Source organism: Homo sapiens, chromosome 2 (assembly GCF_000001405.40).
Source record: "Homo sapiens chromosome 2, GRCh38.p14 Primary Assembly".
Classification (NCBI taxonomy): Eukaryota; Metazoa; Chordata; class Mammalia; order Primates; family Hominidae; genus Homo; species Homo sapiens.
Window position 1 is genome coordinate 3,177,054 of NC_000002.12, and position 20,476 is coordinate 3,197,529.

Consider the following 20,476-nt stretch of genomic DNA (forward strand, 5'->3'; position numbering starts at 1 on the left):
GGGTGCGCGTGTTCGCGAAGCATTCTCGCGATGCCCGAGTGCGCATCAGAGGCGTCACTGTGGTGGGAGAAACACCTGGACCACGGTCCTTGCCCTGAGCTGCTTAGAAAACACATATTGGATTAACTTCTCAGAATAAAGATTCCCCACTAGTGAAACTGTGCAGACTGCGCTACTAACGCGGACACTCCTTGCACACCTGCTTTGATCCCACTCTGGCTCACAGTGACTGGCTCAACCACAGGCCTTTGCTGGTGGGTTCTGAGGTGAGAGCATTTGGGGTCTGAGCCCCACGAGCTCACGGTCTAGTGAGAAGGTGAGTCGTGGCCCGAAACTATGATAAAGGAAGGCACCAGGGCCCGCCACATGGGACCAGCGGCCCTAAGGATTCCCTGCCATTTTTGAGCTGGACGTCACGAGCCATATGCCCTGTGATGGAGGCCTCGGGTGCAAGCAAATCCACACCCACGCAAATGCAAATGGCTGTTTCCACCTAAGATGCAATGTCAACTTCAGACTCGTGTCCAGGACTGAATCAGCGTCTCTGTGGCTGAGATACCTGAAGAGAGAGAAGCTGGCGGCCGTATTAGTAGGAAATCCCGTGGTTTCTCGGGGGAGAAGTTGATGCCGACAGATCTTTTCATTTTTCCCGGCCTCTGGTAGGTGGCCTGTGAATGGCTTCTCCTGAGGGTGCCCTTGATGGCTTCATCAGTCAGGGCCCTTAGCTCTCCCCTCAACTACCACACAAGCACAATTTCAGCAGCACCAAAATGACAACAGAAAGGCAATTCCAACATCACCATTTTCCACACGCTTATTAAGCAGTAAGACACAACAGGGCATGAATTATTATGCAGTAACTCATGCCTAGAAGCCATTGCAGACACAAAAGTCGAAGGATTCATCATTATCATATATTCAGTTCTATTTTTCTTTTTCACGCTGTAAAAAAAATCATGTCTAAATCTTCTAAAACCATCATAGTTACATCAAAAAGTGGATTGGGCTATCAACTCCGACAGTTTAAAATAAACCAGCAGCTGAGCAGGAAAACCTCTTGAATGCTTTCCTCTAGGTTTAGAGTCTGTTACTGGTGATGATGATAAAGACCCTGCTTCTTATTCCAAAAAAAAAAAAAAAAAAAAAAAGCAGAAAAGGAAGCTGCCCAGTGGAAAGGCCTGTGGGGCCGGGTGAGCCCCCTTGGGCATAGGCTGCCTGAAGACCCCGCTGGTCCATGGGTGCCACATCAGGAGGGTGGGAGGGCACACAGCAGTCTGAGGTCTGTCATGTGATGGCGCCGCTGGAGGGCCCCCAGCTGTGAGCCCTGAACCATGCGGCTCCAGGGGGTTGGCCAGGCTGGTTCATCAGCAAGTGTGACCGCACTTCGACTCTGTGCAGGGCACTGTGCCAAGCCCTGAGGACCCAGCAATGGACAGAGGTCCCCAGGCCTTCCTTTGTGGGGCTGACATGCTGGATAAGGAGTGTTGAGGAGAAGCCTGCAGAGGTGCATCTCAAAGACCACTGGGAGGCAGGTGGACCCTACCAGTAGCACCCTTGAGGGCTGCTCCCTGACCAGGCCTGCTGCACACCACTGGCCCTCATTCCCCACCCTCTCCTGCTGCCAGGTGGGAGCAGCTCAGGGTTCTGTGGCCACCCATTCCTGGGAAGCTAAGGATGGCCCCAGGGCCACTGGTAGGCTGCCCTGAGAGTCTCCCTTACCCTTGCTAGGGGCAGAGGCAGCCTCAGAGCCGGCAGGGCCGGCTCTTCCTCCACGTGCAGGCCCAGCACAGCCTAAAATCCAGGCCAGATTCTTGCTGTTGCAGTCCCACCACTCAGACACCCGTGCCCTCCCGTGCCCACCCAGCTCCCTGCCTGGCTGGCGCCCCCACCCCTCCAGGATTCAGGGGAGCCATCCTCTCTTCACCGCCCACTTGTGCTGGCAGATGCCCCATACTGAGCTGCATGTTTCTGTCCCAGGCTGGCCTCTGTGAGCTTAGAGGTTATTGGCAATGCGTTTCCTCCCCGTCCCAGGCCTCTAGGCAGGGTACATGTTTGTGGGAGGGGCTCCCCAGACCTCCCATCTGGCATGGAGGGACTGAGTGGGTGGGTGGGTGCTGTGCCCGTAGTACAGTGCCCACAGAGAGAGGGTGAGAGCTGCTTACTGCACAGCCAGCTACTGCCCAACGCAGGTAGCTGGGTGGGCAGACACTGGGCCATGATCTCGTGGGCCCTGTTGACAACAGCTGGAGCTGGAACACGCTCCCTGCTGAAGGCGGGACAGGGGCCCTGGCAGCCAGGTGGCCACTTCAGGGACGTCTATGCAGTGGAAGAGCCCAGAAACCGACTCAGGAACGAGGGAGGGAAGAGGCGAACCCGAACCCACAGGGAGCCGTGAGGCCTCAGGAGGGCGCCACCTGCCAAACTTGCGCTCCTGTATCTGCAGGAATTGTATTCGATGCTACTATCAAAAGCAAAGCGTTCTCGAAAACCCTTTGTAATCTGCAAAGTGTCCATCATTCAGAAAGACATCGTTACGCTTTCCTCTTAATGAATTTATAGAAATAGGTGAAGACGACCAACTTACACCAAGCTTGAAGCTCTGGGGCTGATGCCCGATGCCCTGGGGGCTGCCTAACTGGGGCCTGGGGCCACCCCTGCACTGCCCCTTCCTGCTCTCCCTTTCCACCTCCACCCTTCTCAGAGCAGCCTACAGAGTCTGACCTACACTGAGGGATTGGGCTCCTGCCCTTCCCAACACAGGGGGCACGGAGCCGCCACGGCCCCTTGGCTGGGATTAGCCCGTGTGTCCCCCTCACCAGAAATCAGCCCCTTCATGGGGCCGCCTCACACTCCCAGCCCAGCCCTGTGGGCTTTCAGGTAGGAGGCAGAGACCGCAGGGAGGGAGCTCCCAGAGATGCACCCCGTGGACCACGCCCTCCCTGTCTCTTCCTCCTTCCCCGGAGGACCATGCTGGACAAAGTAGCAGCTCAATAAACATGTATTGGATTGCTCCGGATCACAGTCAGGTCTAGGACTGCACATTTATCAATTCCTTTCCACGTCAACTCAATATAAGTCGGGGCAAGCCTCGTAAGATGTGAGAAGTGGAAGCTGCAGGGAGTGTCTGGAGCCCGGAGACAGGCCATGGGTGCCTGATCTGGAGGAGTGTGAAGGGAAACACCCAGGAAGCAGGGTCTGTTGAGTGCCTCAACACAAGGCTGCAACAGGTGGGACTTGACCTGCAAGTGCAGGAGCCAAGGGTGGGCAAGCATCTCCACACGTTTTGATTTTAAGGAAAATTATTCTTGTGACCACGCACAGGGTGGGAGAAGGAGTGAGCCCACTCGCTCACTATTCCAGCACCGACACGGGGACGCTCACTATTCCAGCACCGACGTGGGGACGCTCACTATTGCAGCACCGACAAGGGGCACCAACACGGGGATGTTCACAATTCCAGCACCGACATGGGGACGCTCACTATTCCAGCACCGACACGGGGATGCTCACTATTCCAGCACCGACGTGGGGACGCTCGCTATTTCAGCACCGACAAGGGGCACCGACACGGGGACGCTCACTATTCCAGCACCGACAAGGGGCACCGACACGGGGACACTCACTATTCCAGCACCGACACGGGGACGTTCACTATTTCAGCACCGACACGGGGACGATCACTATTCCAGCACCGACACGGGGACGTTCACTATTTCAGCACCGACACGGGGACGATCACTATTCCAGCACCGACACGGGGACGCTCACTATTCCAGCACCGACAAGGGGCACCGACATGGGGATGCTCACTATTCCAGCACTGACAAGGGGCACCGATACGGGGACGCCCACTCTACCAGCACCGACACGGGGACGCTCACTATTGCAGCACCGACAAGGGGCACCGACATGGGGACGCTCACTATTCCAGCACCGACACGGGGCACCGACATGGGGACGCTCACTATTCCAGCACCGACACGGGGTCGCTCACTATTCCAGCACCGACACGGGGACACTCACTATTCCAGCACCGACACGGGGCACCGACACGGGGACGCTCACTATTCCAGCACCGACACGGGGACGCTCACTATTCCAGCACCGACACGGGGCACCGACACGGGGACGCTCACTGTTCCAGCACCGATACGGGGCACCAACATGAGGACGCTCACTATTGCAGCACCGATACAGGGATGCTCACTATTCCAGCGCTAATACGGGGACGTTCACTATTCCAGCACCGACACGGGGACGTTCACCCTTCCAGCACCAACACGGGGACGTTTACTATTCCAGCACCGACAAGGGGCACTGACAGGGGAATGCACACTATTCCAGCACTGACACAGGGATGCTCACTATTCCAGCACGGACACGGGTCACTGACACAGTGACGGTCACTATTCCAGCACGGACAAGGGGCACCGATATGGGGACGCTCACTATTCAAGCGCCGACATGGGAACACTCACTAGTATTCCAGTGTTCCCGACACGGGAACACTCACTTCTCAGTAACGCTCACCGCTATTCCAGCGTTCCCAACACAGGGACGCTCAGCGCTATTCCAGCGTTCCTGACACGGGGATGCTCTCCAGTATTCCAGCACTGACATGGAAGCCCATGTAAACCAGGAAATGGGGCTCCTTCCTCCATCAGGCAGCCCGGGGGCTGGATTCCAGGACACAGTAAGGGAAGGAGGAGACACAGGGAAAGGCCCCAAGGCTATGACACTGGAGCTGGCTTTCAAGAATGAGCAGAATTTCACCAGGTGGAGGAGGACTTCCAAAGGATTTGCAAAGAAGAGCCAATCTAGACAAAGGTGATCTGACGCGTCGTTAGGAAAGGTCGCTCATCTGTTTGATCAGAATGTCAGCTATGACAGAGATGCGGGGATGTCCATGAAAAGCCAGGCTGGGTCAGAGGACCGTGATTGATGGTTAGTTGATTGATTGATTTAATAAACCCTCATTAACTGCTATTACACATAAGGCAGCATTTCAAACCAGAAACTCGCAGGCTGTTCCCTATGTGATTTTTAGTGCCTCTTCAATAAGCCATGCAGAAATCCAATCAGCAAGGCTCAGTAAACACTAGTCAATCACAATCCTCATCGTCACTTCCTGAGACCATAAAGCGCATGACGGTGTAACTGCTGGGGCATCTGTGATAGGCTCCGAGCCCCTGCATTGTTCTGGAAGCTCGGCCACTCTACTGGTGCATGGGACATGTTTTTAAGGTTATCTTACATTAGAAAAGTGAGTATCAGGAGAAGTCAAAAAGACAAAACCTGTCAACGGAGGGGTGCAGTCAGTTACGGAGCCATTTTTCTTGATTCTTAGGAAATGGCCTTCTATGTACTGCTTTCTATTTGCAAAATAGTCACATTGAATTCACTGGTAGCACAGAATACCTTTGGAAGTTCCATTTTAATCCATCTCTATTTAGGGGATCTTGCTTTTAAATGACCCAGCTTATGGCTTTCAATGTCTCAAAGGAATTAAGAACTTTCATTTTTCACATATTTCATACAAATATACAAGGCAGTATTTCAATTATCCTTTCGTCTCTCCATCAAGCACTTTATCTTGAGATAGACTAAGAGCTTTGGGTTATTTACTGAAAGTGAGGACCCAATTCTAGAAATGTTCCAAACTCGGCATCTCCTCATTCAGCCTTTAGGGGTAAGATTACCAGACCCAATGACGCCTACTAGTGTTTTAAGATACGAACCACTGTCCCATCCACTTGCCCACCCACCCATCCATCCCCTTCCAACCACCCACCCACTTACCCCATCCAACCACACACCCACCTACATACCTATCCATCCACCTACTCACCCACCCATCATCCATCCACCCATCCAGCCACCCACTCACCTATCCACCCCCATCCAACCACCACCCACCCACTCACCCCATCCAACCACCCATCCATCTACACACCCATCCACCTACCCACCCACCCCTCACCCTCATCCACTCACCATCCACCCACCCAGGTATCCATCCACCCACCTATGCATCCATCCACCCACTCACCTACCTATCCATCTACCCACCCATCCACTGACCCACTATTCATTCACCCACCCATCCAGCCACCCATGCACCATCCACGTAACTGTCCATCCACCCATCCACTCACCCATCCACTATTCATCACCTACCCCCCACCCACCCGCCCGCCATCCACCCACTCACCCATCTACCCACCCATTCACCAATCCATCCACACATCCATTCATCCATCAACCCATCCACCCACCTGTACCCACCCATCCACTATCCACTCACCCACCCAATCTGTCCATCCACCCTTCTACCCACCCACCTATCCAACCCAGCCTGACTGTCCCCTGCCTGGCACCCACTTTCTCTAGCCCTGAGGTCCTCAGGGGCCCACAAATCTTTGACCTGGTCTCTGCCTTCTGTCCCTCACCCCTTCCTTCCCTCCTCTGATCCCCCACCCCCCATTTCTGGTGTCTTCAGTCTCTGCCTCCCTGGCTACAGGAGATGCCTTTGCAGGGCCTAGCACAGTGTCTCAGGGAGAACACCAGCAGGCTCACCCGCCCTGCTGAAGGCCTGCTCCTCCCAACTCCGTCCCCCAAGACCTTTGTCTGGGGTCCTTGTTGTTGAACTAAAGCTGGCCCTCTGGAGTTCCCACTAACAAGGGCTGTCCTCATGTCATTGGTGACACCCCTAGGAGCCCATCCAGTGCTCTCACACCCTGCCCCCAACACCGCAGCTTTTCACATCCCAGAGGAAGCAGCCACAGCTCTTCTGAACGAGCCACACACATTATGGGGCAGGTGCAGCCCACACAGTGTGTCCCTGCAGTATGCAGCATGTGCCCCGGGTGTGGGGAGGGGGACTTCCGGCTCCAGCTCCAGGACACCCTGAGGATGCTGCGTGATGCTTGCTGTGGGTTGGCAGGGCTTCACCAGGACACCCTGAGGATGCTGCGTGATGCTTGCTGTGGGTTGGCAGGGCTTCGCCTGCTGGTGTCAGAAGATGATTCTCAATTAGCGCCAACCCTCCCTCCCATCACCCGGCCAGGCAGAGAGCAGGAATGGAGAGCCACAGCCCGGCCATTTAAGAGCAGCGCCAACTCACTGGGCAGCCCACACCAGAAGGGGCTCCTGAAAAGTGTTAAATCCAAAATCTCCCATTGCTCCCAATCTCACACAGCTCCTGGATTCTCAGTTTAGCCCTGCCAGGCCCATGCTGCAGAGGCGCCTGCGGGGAAAGTGGGTTACTAATGACCCTGCTTTGTGCAGCTGGACACGTGCCGAGGTAAGTCAGGCCCCGGCCAGGGCACACCATGGATGACATTCATCTTTTCTGGCACTGACGCTGCCGTCCACAGCCACAGGCGACACCGCACAGCACCTGACACTGCACAGAGGGGCCAGGAGGACGGGTCGAGGCTGACTTCTTTCCCCATATTCCCAGCCCCCCAGGTCCTGGTAAAGAAGGTCCACATGTAATCCCATCACCTTCAACACAGCTTCTGTGTAAAGGAGGGAAGAACCCCATCTATACAGGAGGCTTGTCCAGCACAGCCCCTCCACCACCCCACGCGCAGGGGTGTCCAGTGCAGCCCCTCCACCACCCCACGCGCAGGGGTGTCCAGTGCAGCCCCTCCACCACCCCACGCGCAGGGGTGTCCAGTGCAGCCCCTCCACCACCCCACGCGCAGGGGTGTCCAGTGCAGCCCCTCCACCACCCCACGCGCAGGGGTGTCCAGTGCAGCCCCTCCACCACCCCACGCGCAGGGGTGTCCAGTGCAGCCCCTCCACCACCCCACGCGCAGGGGTGTCCAGTGCAGCCCCTCCACCACACCACGCGCAGGGGTGTCCAGTGCAGCCCCTCCACCATCCCACGCGCAGGGGTGTCCAGTGCAGCCCCTCCACCACCCCACGCACAGGGATGCAGGCTTAGCTCTGAAAATGGCATGGGCAACAAAGGATGCTGGTGATGAACCCCAAAGTCTCTGCATGGCTGCATCCTAACTGTTCCAGCTGTCCAACCAGTCACCTAGAGGTCACTGGGCTGCCTATGGGTAAGAATTGCTGGAGGCAGAGCCTGAGAGACTTGCATGAAGGGGACATGGCCTATGCCCCGGTCGGTGGACAGAGCCGGGCAAGGTGCCCCTAGCCTGTTTCAAAATCCTCAGAAGGGGGATGCTTGCTCTGTTTACAAGGGGTCCTTAAGATAAAACTATGTCCTGTGTTTGAATGTGTGTGCATTTTACAAATAGAAGTACTGTTGATGACGCCCAAACCGTGGCCACACTGATGATGGCCGCACTGGCAATGGCCGCACTGGCGATGGCCACACTGACGATGGCCGCACTGATGATGGCATTGGGTCCCACGTGGTGCTGTCCTGGGGCACACTCGCTTTCTCTAACGGAACCTCTCACCCTGTTCATCTGGAGTTGCTCACCAGATCACACCCTCGCCTTCCTATTCCAGGATATCCCTTCTCCCCCCTCTGTGCTTCTCCACTGGACTAGTCTATCCGCATTCAGAAACACAGATATTTCTCCTTCTTAAAGAGAGAGATCCTCAGCCGGGCGCGGTGGCTCACGTCTGTAATCCCAGCACTTTTGGGAGGCTGAGGTGGGCAGATCACCTGAGGTCAGGAGTTTGAGACCAGCCTGGCCAACAAGGTGAAACCCCATCTCTACAAAAATTAGCCCGGTGTGGTGGCGCATGCCTGTAATCCCAGCTACTCTGGAGGCTGAGGCAGGAGAATTGCTTGAACCTGGGAGGCGGAGGTTGCAGTGAGCCAAAATTGCGCCACTGCACTCCAGCCTGGGCGACAGAGCAAAACTCCGTCTCAATAAAAAAAAAAAAAAAGAAAGAAATAGAAAGCTCCTTGTGGTCACAGGCCCTGGGGGGCTACTCCTCCTGTTGTTTCCTTTACACAGCCCCTCCCGCTCCCAGCTTCCTACCTCTCTTATCCCGTGCCGCTCCTGCAGTTCATGCTGCTCCTGCTGTCCACGCCGCTCCTGCCATCCACCAGCTGCCAGGGGGCCTCCCCAGGGCCATCCACACCTCCATGTCCGTGTCCATCTCCAGCTCGTTCTCCCCCACATCTGACGCCCCATCTGCAGCATTGAGGGTGCCTCAGTCCTTCTCCCGGAAACCAACACTTTGCTTGGCTCCTGGATACCCCATGCCCTGTGCCCTCCCACCCCCAGACTCCTCTGAAGGAGGATTCAGAGGAATCTTCGCCTCCTCTGAAGGAGGATTCAGAGGAATCTTCGCCTCCTCTGAAGGAGGATTCAGAGGAATCTTCGCCTCCTCTGAAGATTCCTCGTCCCAGAGCTCACCTGAACGTCTTCTCTACACGACTTTCCTGTGGTCTTCTGGGGGCCCTGCCATCCGTTCACCATTGAAGGACGCTTGTGTTGCTTCCAGCACTTGGTGATTATGCCTGGGTAGAAATATCTGTGTATAGGTATTTATGCAAACATAAGTTTTATTTTCTGGGGCTGGCATTGGCAAACAGGCCCCAGGCCACATCCATCCACCGCCTGTCTTTGTAAACTCATGGTGTGTGTCTGGCAGGACAACCACAGAGAGGAACATGGACAGTGACTGTGGCCCTCAAAGTCTAAAATGTTTACTTTCCAGATCCTTTCTCGAAAAGGATCCAGGGTAAAGACGTGAGGGCTGACTGGTGTGGTGAGTGTGTGTTAAACTCATGAGAAGCCAGCCACCGGGTGCACAGTGGCCTCACCATTGCACACACACAACGCACACACACTGGCGGCTGTGTGCCAATCAAAGGCAGTAAACCATCCAAACTCTAAACTTCAGTCCTCACCTGTTCAGTGGCTTCCGTCTCAAAAAGGCAGGACCTCCAGTTCCCCATGGCTGGGCCTCCTGCCTCATTCCCATGCCAGCCCAGCTGCCTCCCTACCTGATCCACTCACCCAGGTGCCACCCCACCCCAACCCTGGGCCTTGGCTCACGCATCGCCTTCTCAGAGAGCCTCGCTCCCACAGCGCTCCCTGGCCCCTCCTCTACACTCCCCTGTGGCATCTGTCCCCATGTCACCTGATGGCCCACAGGAGCACTCACTCCAGGGGAGCTGAGACTTGCCCTAATCACAGCTGTGGCTGCAGCAACAGCAGGATCTAGAAGTGTGGGTACACAGTAGGCACTCAATTTATGTTTGTTAAACAAACACATTTTCTTTCAAGTGACAGCAACTGAAGGGAGGACTGACATTACAATGCCACACATTCCTCACACGTGCAGGTTTTACCTGGAAGCAGAAATGCTGGAGGGTCTGCAACACACCTGTCTCTGTCCACCCCCACTCCCCACCAGCACACCCCTCCCCAAGGCCCCCCGTACCAGCTTGCCCCTCCCCATGCCCCCCCCACCAGCACGCCCCTCCCCACGGTCCCACCCACCTGTGTGCCCCTCCCCACTCCCCACCCCCCACCCACCAGTGCGCCCCTCCCCACTCCCCACCCACCAGCGTGCCCCTCCCCATGGCCTCCCCACCAGCGTGCCTCTCCCCACGGCCCCACCCACCTGCATTCCCCTCCCCACTCCTCATCCACCTGTGCACCCCTCCCCATGGCCCCCCAACCAGCATGCCTCTCCCCATGGCCCCCCCACCTGCACGCCCCTCCTGACTCCCCACCTGCGCACCCCTCCCCACGGCCTCCCCACCAGCGTGCCCCTCCCCACAGCCCCACCCACCTGCATTCCCCTCCCCACTCCTCACCCACCTATGCACCCCTCCCCACGGCCCCCCAACCAGCGTGCCCCTCCCCACAGCCCCACCCACCTGCATTCCCCTCCCCACTCCTCACCCACCTGTGCACCCCTCCCCACGGCCCCCCAACCAGCGTGCCTCTTCCCACGGCCCCCCGACCTGCGTTCCCCTCCCCACTCCCCACTCACCTGCTTGCCTCTCCCAACAGCCCCACCCAGCTGTGCACCCCTCCCTACAGCCCCCACCTGTGGACCCCCCCATACTTGTCCCCTCGCCCAGGACCCCACCTTTTCACCTCTCCCCCTATGGCCTCCACTTCGCTGTGAACTCTCATCTATGAAAGGAAAATCCAGGATGCGGCCCTCTGGGTGCAGAGCGTCCTTAGCAGCACGGTACACCTACTGGCGGGGGCGCTGCAGCAGGAACGTGTCCTTTTTGCAGGTCGGGCAAGACTTGTCCTAGAATCGTCAAACCCCAGAGCTGATGGGCCTGTGAGCTCAGCCCATCCTTCCCCATCATTACAGATGAGGTGATCGGGGCAGCAGAGCGCAGAAGTGGCCCCTGCGGGGACACCTGGCCAGGTGGAGGCCTAAGGGAGATGGAGCCCAGAGTCCAGGGCCCAGGTGGCTTCTCCAGTGGGAACACGCACCAGACACAGAGAACAGACCCCGCACACCCAAAGGAACCACGAACAGAGGCTGCGAGGTCAGTGTTTGAGGATTCCTAAGGATAAGCACTGATGAGTGTAGGAGCCTGTGAGGGGTCCCCGACAACTGAGACGCGGGAGCCCAACCCCAAGCTCCGAGGTGAGGGAGGACGGCACCTCCAAGGCCACCAGTGCGTGCGCGTGGGGAGGAGGCCCTGCCCGGCTCACAAGGTGGGCAGGACACAGCACAGGATGGGCTGCAGAGACCAGGGGAGGCCCAGGGCGGGCAGAGCCTGCGTCTACAGCAGTGAAAATGCATCACACCAGCTCAGCCCAGGGCGCGAGCCAGGTGCCCACCAGCAGCCAGCATGGCTCCCGGGAGTTCCATGCTAGGGCGGCGTAGACAGCACACGTCTGTCCATCTGCATTTTCCCTGGGTCAGGAAAGAGAAAATGGACAAAGACCCAGGAGATGGGGTCACAGGGCAGAGCTCCTGAAAGAATGAGCCGAGCACCTGTGCAGCGTGGATTTATTTTATTTCATTTTTTACTCTCAAGAGAAAGAAGAGTTACTATTGCAGGAACAGACATTTTTTTAAAAAGCGAAACTCCTGACACCCTTAAAACAGAAAACATTGTTATTCACATAATAATGTGGGGCTCTGTCTCTGCCGACAGGGGCTGGGTTCGGGCATTAGCTGTGCCGTCGACAATAGCCCCATTCACCCCATTCATAAATGCTGCTGCTACAGGAAGGGAACAGCGGCTCTCCCAGAGAGGGATCCACCTGGAACACGAGTCACCTCCAAAGAGCTGCGACTGTTTGAGAATCTGCCAAGAGGAAAACCACTCAATGGGACCTGGATAACCCAGGCCCGGGAGTCATAGCAGGATGTGGTACTTCAGGGCCCTGGGCACCCTGTTGATCACGAGCCTCCCGTCATAGCTCAGGGAGGCAAACAGCCACGGGTCAGCCGAGGACCAGTCCACGGCATAGACGCTGTCCTCGTGCTCCTCGTAGGTGGCGATCACGTTGTCCTGCAGGGGCTCCTTGCTCCTGCAATGCAACAGAGGCAGACGTGAGCGCAGCAGCTCCGGCGGGGCGGGCAGGAGAGGGGCAGGGAGGACGCGAGCGCTGACATCGGGAGACACGGGAGGTACTGGGGCCTCAGCTTTCTCCGCTGTGGGATGGGAAGAATTAGAGGAGCCCACACCGAGGACGGTGGGGTGGTCCCTGCAGAAGCCCAGAAACCCTCACTGTCACTGTGAGGAGTGGGCATTTCTCAAAAGGTTTATGGAAATCGGCGACATTGGCACATGGTGTCTTGGTTTCTTCTGTCCTTGGCCCCCGGGTGCCTGGGTTGATATTTTGTTGGAGGTCTTCCAAGGGCTTCCTTTAGCTCAGGGGAAAGACTGGGGGAAGTAGTCACCGTGTCTGGGTAACACAGGATGTAAACGCCCCTATTGCTTGAGCAGAAAGGACCCTGGGAAGCAGCGGGTCCAGCTCCTGGCTGTGTAGGAGTCAGAGGCTGGGGCACAAGGAGCCTTGCTAGGATGGGAGTGGGGCTGGGCTGAGGATCCCCCAGGACACCAAGAGGAAGACGCCCTGGCCCTGTGGGAGCAGCAGAGGCGTGACCTGCCTGGCCTCCCCCAGGGTGTTTCCCACCTCGCCTCCCTTGACTGTGAGTTACCCTCACTGGGAGCCCTGACCAGGGGATCCTCACACAAGAAGCACCACTTCCTCAGCACAGCGTGCATGGGGAGGGGGCCCTGCCCGGCTCACAGCGGCCACTTTCCGGTGGACACAGGCTTCTCTGGCACTTTACTTCCCATTTCACAAAAAAATTCCCACATAATTTGTGTACCGCATTCTAACTGCTTTTGCATTTCTTTGTAGGAAAATGCTTCACCCCCCCAGCAAGACGGACCCTCCAGAACTCGCATGGTCTCTGGGAAGCTGGCTTCCCACAAAGTGGACCTGCCAGTGGTCAACTGCTGTTGTGGGACAAATGCCAGGTGCAAATCCTTAGGAGGAATCATGGTTTCCTGAATGCAGCAGGACATCAGGACTGAGGGATGTCCTAAGAAGTCTGCGTAGCCCCGATCACCTCCTCCCTTCCTATCTTGCTCCCATGACATTGCCGCCCAGAAGACAACGCCAGCAGTCTTCCGACCAACGGGCCCATCAGGCTCCTCCCCTAACAGGGACAGACATGGTGAGGAAGTGCAGACTCCCTGGGCCACTGGCAGAGAGGACGGTAAAGGGAGCCAGGCCCACAGGCACCGAGAGACCACTGGGCAGATGCTACCGTGCGTGTGCTTAAATACTATTCTATGGCAGACCGAGTTTCTAAGGTTTGAACAGAAAAACAACAGAGTCTGGCTCATGCCTGTAATCCTAGCACTTTGGGAGGCTGAAGTGGGCAGATCACTTGAGCTCAGGAGTTTGAGACCAGCTTGGGCAACATGGCAAAACTCTGTCTCTACAAAAAGTTAGCCAGACATGGTGCCATGGGCCTGTTGTCTCAGCTACTTGAGAGGCTGAGGTGAGAGGATCACCTGAGCCCAGGAGGTCAAGGCTGCAGTGAGCCATGATCGTGCCACTGCACACCAGCTTGGGTGACTTTTTTGTTTGTTTTTGTTTGTCTCAAAAACAAAACAAAGGCAACAGAGTCAAGAGACAAACAGATGGGCCCATCGCCACTGCAGAAAGGGTCCAAAGACAGAGACAATCAGATGGGCCCATCGCCACTGCAGAGAGGGTCTGAAGACAGAGACAATCAGATGGGCCCATCGCCACTGCAGAGAGGGTCTGAAGACAGAGACAATCAGATGGGCCCATCGCCACTGCAGAGAGGGTCCGAAGACAGAGACAATCAGATGGGCCCATCGCCACTGCAGAGAGGGTCTGAAGACAGAGACAATCAGATGGGCCCATCCCCACTGCAGAGAGGGTCCGAAGACAGAGACAATCAGATGGTCCCATCGCCACTGCAGAGAGGGTCTGAAGAAAGAGGTCTTCTCACAGAGGAATTTTAGACCAAGCTCAGGTGGGTAGGGGGAGAATTCAGACAAAAAACAGTGCAAAGGATCCCAAAACAGAGTGACAGACCCCATCGTATCTAAGGGCTCTGTCCAACTTCACAAGGTTTTATTCCAGAACCTCCTTCCTCTGGAACCTGGGGCAAGAATCTCTGCGGTTGCAACTGAATTGCATCTAGTCACCCCCCAGGAAGCGGCTGCCACTTCTAAAGGTGGACTGCTCAAGGACACAGGGGCCCTGGCACTGCACCGCTGACCAGAGGCGGGCATGAAGAGGCTGCCCTTAGCGATCTCCCATCTCACCTAGGATCAGAAATCAAGGTGCATAGGAAAAAGCTTTGGGAAAATCCAGAACCATGATGGTGTGACTAGAAAACCCACATCATGGTTGACCACATTTTGTAGAGTATCTAGAAGTGAAGTAGGACCCGGGTTTGAGACTGGGAAGGTTGGCCTGGAGTCTCCGCCCTGCTACCAGCCAGTGGAAGGCCCGTGAGCTGATGGCCAACAACCCGACCCCAACACGCTCAAATCCACGCCAGTGAAGACACTGACTGTGATGCGTCTCTTACAGGGAGTGCTGTGAGGATTGGGATATATTCGTTCTATTATTATTCATGCTCAAGTTTGAAGACCAGTGAGTCTTTTAAATCTTACAGATGGCATTCAATAAGAATACAAACACAAATAGATCTATTTTAAAACCGCACCTAACCCTAACGCACCTGCAGTGCCTCCCACCTGGGCTGCTAATGACGGCACCCCTGGAACTGTGAGTCCCCACAGCTGCAGTGGGTAAGGAGAGTGTCCCCCAAATGCACTCCTGGAAACTTTCTACATACACAGCCTGGCTCGGGAGATGGCTGTGCAGACAGGAGGCTCTGGTACAGCGTGAGCCACTCTGCAGTGCGTGCCCTTACTTCTCTTCAGAACGGTGGTCCTCCTGGTCACTGATGTCATCGTCGTCTACCAAGTGGCCGAAGGGCTCCGACGAGATGGACACCATGTTGGAAAGGATGACTCTGCTGTCACTGCTGCCCGTGAGGACCAGCTGGTCATGAGAGTGGTTGTAGCGGACGTTCCACACCCTGCAAAGGGCAAGGCAGCTGCTGAAATGAACTGTCACCCGCAGGCAACACCAACAATGGATCACACCGGCTCTGAGGGCCCCACTAGGCTGGGGCTCACGTTAGGCACTGCCAGGCAATCGGCCCCCAGTCACAGGGCCTGACATAAGGCAGTTTTCCGCTGAGGTTGGGTTTACTGCAGGTTTCTCTTAAGTCCCAAGAGACAGACAGGGAAGACTAAATGTTGGCTGAAACCTACAGGAGGAGAAGGCTTATCACGCAACATTTCAGACAAGCTTTCTAAAATTCGAAAAAAAAAAAAAAATACTGTCCCAGAAGCAACATGTGGATTAGCGATATCCTGTAATATCAAACAAGTCTCACGGCATCTTCCCAGTTGGCAGTGACTGTGGGTCCTGAGACCAGGGCATGGCGGCCTCCCGGGGCACAAGGGCTGTCCTTGGTTTTGGCTACTGGGATCAGCTTTCTTGCTGGCGTGGGTCCTAGAGCCTGGGAGCTTCTGCCTCCCGTCATGCTGAGGCCAAAACAAGCTCCAGGGCCCAGGTGGCAGACAGTGCCAGGCCCTTGACGCTAGGAGGTGCACCCAGCATGGCCAGGGGCACAGGGAGGCCCAGCCACTCAGACCACAGGAAATTCCAGCAAGTCACTGAATTTATCAGAAGTGTGCACTACCAATCCGGGGTTTTAACATACAGCTTCAGATAAGTAATTCAAACAATACAGAGATGCAGGCCATAGGGAGTGAATGCCCCTCTTTGACTTGGGGAGGATTCCTGATGAGATTTTGGCTCTTACTCTTTCAGACATTTCCTCCACATACCTGTGTCACTCACACTTGTGTACACCCGTGTGTGCACACACGTTTTATTTGCATAAAAATGGATTCATGCTATACATGCCATTGTACAACTTGATCTTTTTACTTACTTAGCAAAAAGTACCCAGCACATGAAAAACATTCAAATAATATGTTAGGGAGAATGAGTGACCTCAGAGATCTTCCCACAGCCACATAGAGATGCTCCACATTCTCCCGACAGCTGCATCATCTCCACTGCACGGATGTCACCTAATTTACTTAACCAGTCCCCTAGTGATGGACATTTGGGTGGTTTCCAGGTTTCTGGCATTACAAATAATGTTGCGTGAACATCTGTGCACATTTATTTTTGTATACTTGAACCAGCACTGTTTCAAGAGAAAACAGAATTTAATGTTTTTCTTCTTTTCCTACGTTTATAAATCACAAACATTCAGATTTGGAATTAGTGTTTCTTTAGGAAAAATAAAACTGGGTTGATTGAATGATTCACAGCAGCACAAACTAAGCTGGTTTGTGTCTTTCCCAATGGTAAAGTAATTAGCAAAATCAATTGCGTAATCCCCTCCTCCCTGAAGCAGCCAGGAGCGGCCCTACCAGTGGGAGTGCTCCTCCAGGGTCTTCACGGGTTCGGTGACATTTCGGGTGTCCCAGAACTTCACCTTACAGTCGTCTCCGCAGCTGGCCAAGTAGTACTGCTTATTGGGATTAAAGTCAAGGTCCCGCACCAGCTGTCCGTGGGCATTCTCTATGCAGTAGATCTGGCTGAGGGAGAAGGAAGAACAGCAAAGGAAAATAGTAAATGGATTAGGAAAAGCCACTGCGTGCTGCGGGCACACACTGGTTTCCCGGGACCCTGTCTAATCCCCCGGCCCAGGGTGCTCTCATCCCCTCGGCGTTCCTGCCCTGCAGGAAGAGGCTGGCGCCACCTCCTCCATCCCAGCAACCCTGTGTGGTCGCACCACGCTCATCTCTCCAGAAGCGTATCTGTGACCCTCTGGGCGAGCCGTGGAAGGAATTTTTGCTTTGTAGCCGTCAAAAATGTGACTTGGTATCATCTTGAGAATGAAAGCATGCCAGAGGGGCTGCAACAGCCATGGGGACACTGAGCCAGACATTTGGACAGGATGCCTGACACATTTCTGGAAGGACACAGTGAAGAAGGAAAAGAAAAAGACAGGGAGTTGAGGTAGAATATAGTGTTGGGAAATTTTATATATATATACATACATACACATACAACACAAAATATCTATCTATATATAGAACTATATATATACAGAGAGAGAGAGAAAGGGGGGGGCAGTGGGGAAGGCCATGGAAGCAGGAAGGGGCCGGCTATCTATCTATCTATAGATATATACAGAGAGAGAGAGAGAAAGGGAGGAGCAGTGGGGAAGGCCATGAAAGCAGGAAGGACCATGCCAGCTGGGCTTGCCATTCCACTGTCCACACCAGCTCCAGGTCCAACACTGCTGGTGGCCAGTGCAACCCACTCGCTCCAGGGTGGGAGAAGGGGACTGTTTGAAATGAGTCACACGGCTGTTCACAGTGCGTGCGTTCTCACACTCACGCGTGCATCTGTGTGCACGCCCACACATGTATGTACACACACATGCACACATCTATGCATGAGAGGGCAGACACGCACACACGCACTCACACATCTCACTTTGCCCTGGATCCTATGGTCCTTGGCTGCTCCTCGCAGGGTCTGAAGTCATAATATCCTGCCTATGGCCCTGATGTCATGAATCCCAGAGGGCAGGTCATCCAGTGAGGCTGGACAGTGGCTTGGAACAAAAGGCTGCGCCCAGGAGAGCAAAGAACCCATGGCCTGGCGCTGCCCAGCAGCTCCTACCTGCACGGCCTCCCCAGCACTGCCGTGGGCGGGACTGAAATCACTCCTGCATCATTTACCTTCCTCACCGCAGGCCTCAATGGGGCTGATGAGCAATGGGAAACTTCTGTGCCTTGTAATTTGCTTCCTTTATCTGAAGACCATCATTGTTCTCTGCTCTCCAAAGTAGAGGAACTCAATTCCTTTCATCTTTTTCTCTCACATTAGAACTCCCGGCCCTAAACCACTTTTAAATCTTCTGGTTTTTATATCCTGCACCTTTGCAATATCTTAATATTTCTTCCCTAAAATATAATACCTAAACTTTTAAATCTTTCAAGGGAAACAGGCAAAGGTAGAAAATTTAAAACTTGGCAAATTCCCGGGGAACTAGATGGACAGTCGCACGTGCACGATGTATTAACTAAAGGTTACTGCATGCTCCATCACCAGTAACTGTCACACAAAAGCATCATACCACCTAAAAAAGCACCAAAGGCATCCTGGCTCCATGCAAACCAAAGCTGCTTGCAAAAGGAGAAATGACAGTCAATGAGAAGGCGCCAGGACCCTCTGTGCTGCGCTGGCACGTCCTCACCACAGACACAACACGGGCAAAATGAGGCCACTGCCAGATGTCACCCATCAAAGCCACGGGCATCTTTTTGTTTGCTTATTTGTTTGGTCTGTAACGTCAGTCTTTGAGTTTCTTGTTTTCAGATACTGAAATTCTTCACATCCTTCAAAAAACCATGCAGACAAAGGACACGATGACCACAGGACATGGAGAAATGGATTTCAGCAGGACGTTCATCACGGGCTGAGTCTGTGGTTTCCAGCTTCTGATTAGGAAACCAAACAAGCCCTCTGCACGGACGTGCACAAAGGAGGAAGTGGCAAGTGATTCTTTATTAGCCCCTGAGTTTTCAGAGGGGCCTTGGAACTAAACCTAAAGTTGTGCCCCCACCCTGGAATCAACACGAGTTATTGCATGACATCCGTCTTTTCAGCTCGGTGATAAATTATGGTGTGCTGAGGGGATAAACTGTATCTTAAAAAAGCTTGTGTGGGCTTCCGTTGCCACAGCAACAGACGTGCTACCATCACTCCTTTGCCTATCAAAATCACAACTGGAACGGAAAACTCGCTCTTATTTGTTCCATTAGAGCTGCTGGCTGTTGGGTATAATTACTTAAATGACAAAATATGATTGCCCTATAGGTGTGTCTCCAGAAGGCACAGCTATGGTCAAGGACGACCCCAGGAGAGACTTAACCTGGGGACTGCAGCTGTCAGCCTGCAGCGGCTCATCAGACACGGGCACCCTGTGGTCCCCATCTCGCTCAGTGTTACAAAAGCCCCAATTCCTAGTTTTCATAATAAACTCCTGCTAATGCAGAGATATCAATATGGAACATTAAACAGCCACCGAGGTGCACCGGTTCCATTGCAGTGGATGTGCTAGCTTAATTTGGGGTGAAGAAACAAGATGAAGATTTATGATTTCCTACAAAAACGAGATAAAGACAAACCATGCGCCCCCAAAGGCATGTGGCTCACCATCAGCTCCACCATCATCCCGGTTCTGCTCGGTGAGGGAGGAAAGGAAGTGGGGCCTGCGCCGGGTGGGCTCACTGACCTCATGCTCCGGGTGTCCCAGCCACGGAGGGTGGTGTCGTTCGCTGTGGCCACCTGGGTGCAGTTATGATGTGGGCTCCACCGTCCTGAGGTGAACTTCAGTTGTCCCTTCCCTTCCAGGGACGCTGAGCTGGCCAGCTGGGAGTGTCACGATGTTTTCCAAAGGAAGAAGAAAAGAAGAAGAATGTGAAGTCTGTTCAGAAAACGCGAGAGGATATCGTATACTCAAGGATATTATTGAAAATAATTACTGAGGATAATTAGGAAGCTCTGTCTTTGTTTCCTTTCCTTAAATGGCAAAAATGAACCTTACTTGGGGAAATCTATAAAACTGAGCACAGCAAAAAATAGAAAGCATATTAATAGGCCTCTATTAAAGAGCGTTTGCTTGCAAGTATGTGATTAGAGATAATCAACTCGAACTTGAAGGAAAACAATACAAAACAACTCAAACATCTGGCTTTCCCCAAAGAAAGCGACAAAACAAGTCAGGTCCACCTGAGCGGTTCCGGAATAACAAAGGGACAAACACATTCACTTGGTCAGATGCTGTCTCCAGTGCACGCCCTCTTCCCTCCCTCCGTCTCGAGGCCCACACGGCCTTCGCCTGGCATTTAATCAGACCACCCCAAGCCAGCGAGCTGACCATG

The 20,476-nt window shown here is 54.4% G+C and overlaps 1 protein-coding gene and 1 long non-coding RNA gene across 9 annotated transcripts in view, besides 3 other annotated features; both read right to left on the reverse strand.

Moving 5' to 3' along the window:
- Nucleotides 1-10,315, reverse strand: part of LOC107985840 (uncharacterized) — a 57,332-nt gene extending 47,017 nt beyond the window's left edge. For all 3 annotated transcript variants that reach the window (XR_001739257.1, XR_007086194.1, XR_001739258.2), the window contains exons 1-2: nucleotides 9,351-10,315; nucleotides 8,970-9,125 (exon numbers count right to left, since the gene is read on the reverse strand). This is a non-coding gene — a long non-coding RNA (uncharacterized LOC107985840). The remainder of the gene's footprint in view (nucleotides 1-8,969; nucleotides 9,126-9,350) is intronic.
- Nucleotides 1,245-2,002: an enhancer, noted in NCBI's record as "H3K4me1 hESC enhancer chr2:3182069-3182826 (GRCh37/hg19 assembly coordinates)". NCBI's record gives its function as "activates a minimal SCP1, AML or CMV promoter by ChIP-STARR-seq in primed H9 embryonic stem cells {active_cell/tissue: H9 hESC(primed)}" and the evidence as "EXISTENCE:reporter gene assay evidence [ECO:0000049][PMID:30033119]".
- Nucleotides 2,761-3,518: an enhancer, noted in NCBI's record as "H3K27ac-H3K4me1 hESC enhancer chr2:3183585-3184342 (GRCh37/hg19 assembly coordinates)". NCBI's record gives its function as "activates a minimal SCP1, AML or CMV promoter by ChIP-STARR-seq in primed H9 embryonic stem cells {active_cell/tissue: H9 hESC(primed)}" and the evidence as "EXISTENCE:reporter gene assay evidence [ECO:0000049][PMID:30033119]".
- Nucleotides 3,519-4,274: an enhancer, noted in NCBI's record as "H3K27ac-H3K4me1 hESC enhancer chr2:3184343-3185098 (GRCh37/hg19 assembly coordinates)". NCBI's record gives its function as "activates a minimal SCP1, AML or CMV promoter by ChIP-STARR-seq in naive and primed H9 embryonic stem cells {active_cell/tissue: H9 hESC(naive and primed)}" and the evidence as "EXISTENCE:reporter gene assay evidence [ECO:0000049][PMID:30033119]".
- Nucleotides 10,316-11,916: 1,601 nt separating the features above from the next.
- Nucleotides 11,917-20,476, reverse strand: part of EIPR1 (EARP complex and GARP complex interacting protein 1) — a 188,849-nt gene continuing 180,289 nt past the window's right edge. For all 6 annotated transcript variants that reach the window (NM_001330531.3, NM_003310.5, NM_001330530.3 and 3 more), the window contains 4 exons: nucleotides 19,828-19,964; nucleotides 16,946-17,113; nucleotides 15,361-15,528; nucleotides 11,917-12,455 (listed from right to left, as the gene is read on the reverse strand). In NM_001330531.3, the coding sequence (NP_001317460.1) occupies nucleotides 12,281-12,455; nucleotides 15,361-15,528; nucleotides 16,946-17,113; nucleotides 19,828-19,964 (648 nt within the window). In that variant the 3' untranslated portion in view covers nucleotides 11,917-12,280. The remainder of the gene's footprint in view (nucleotides 12,456-15,360; nucleotides 15,529-16,945; nucleotides 17,114-19,827; nucleotides 19,965-20,476) is intronic.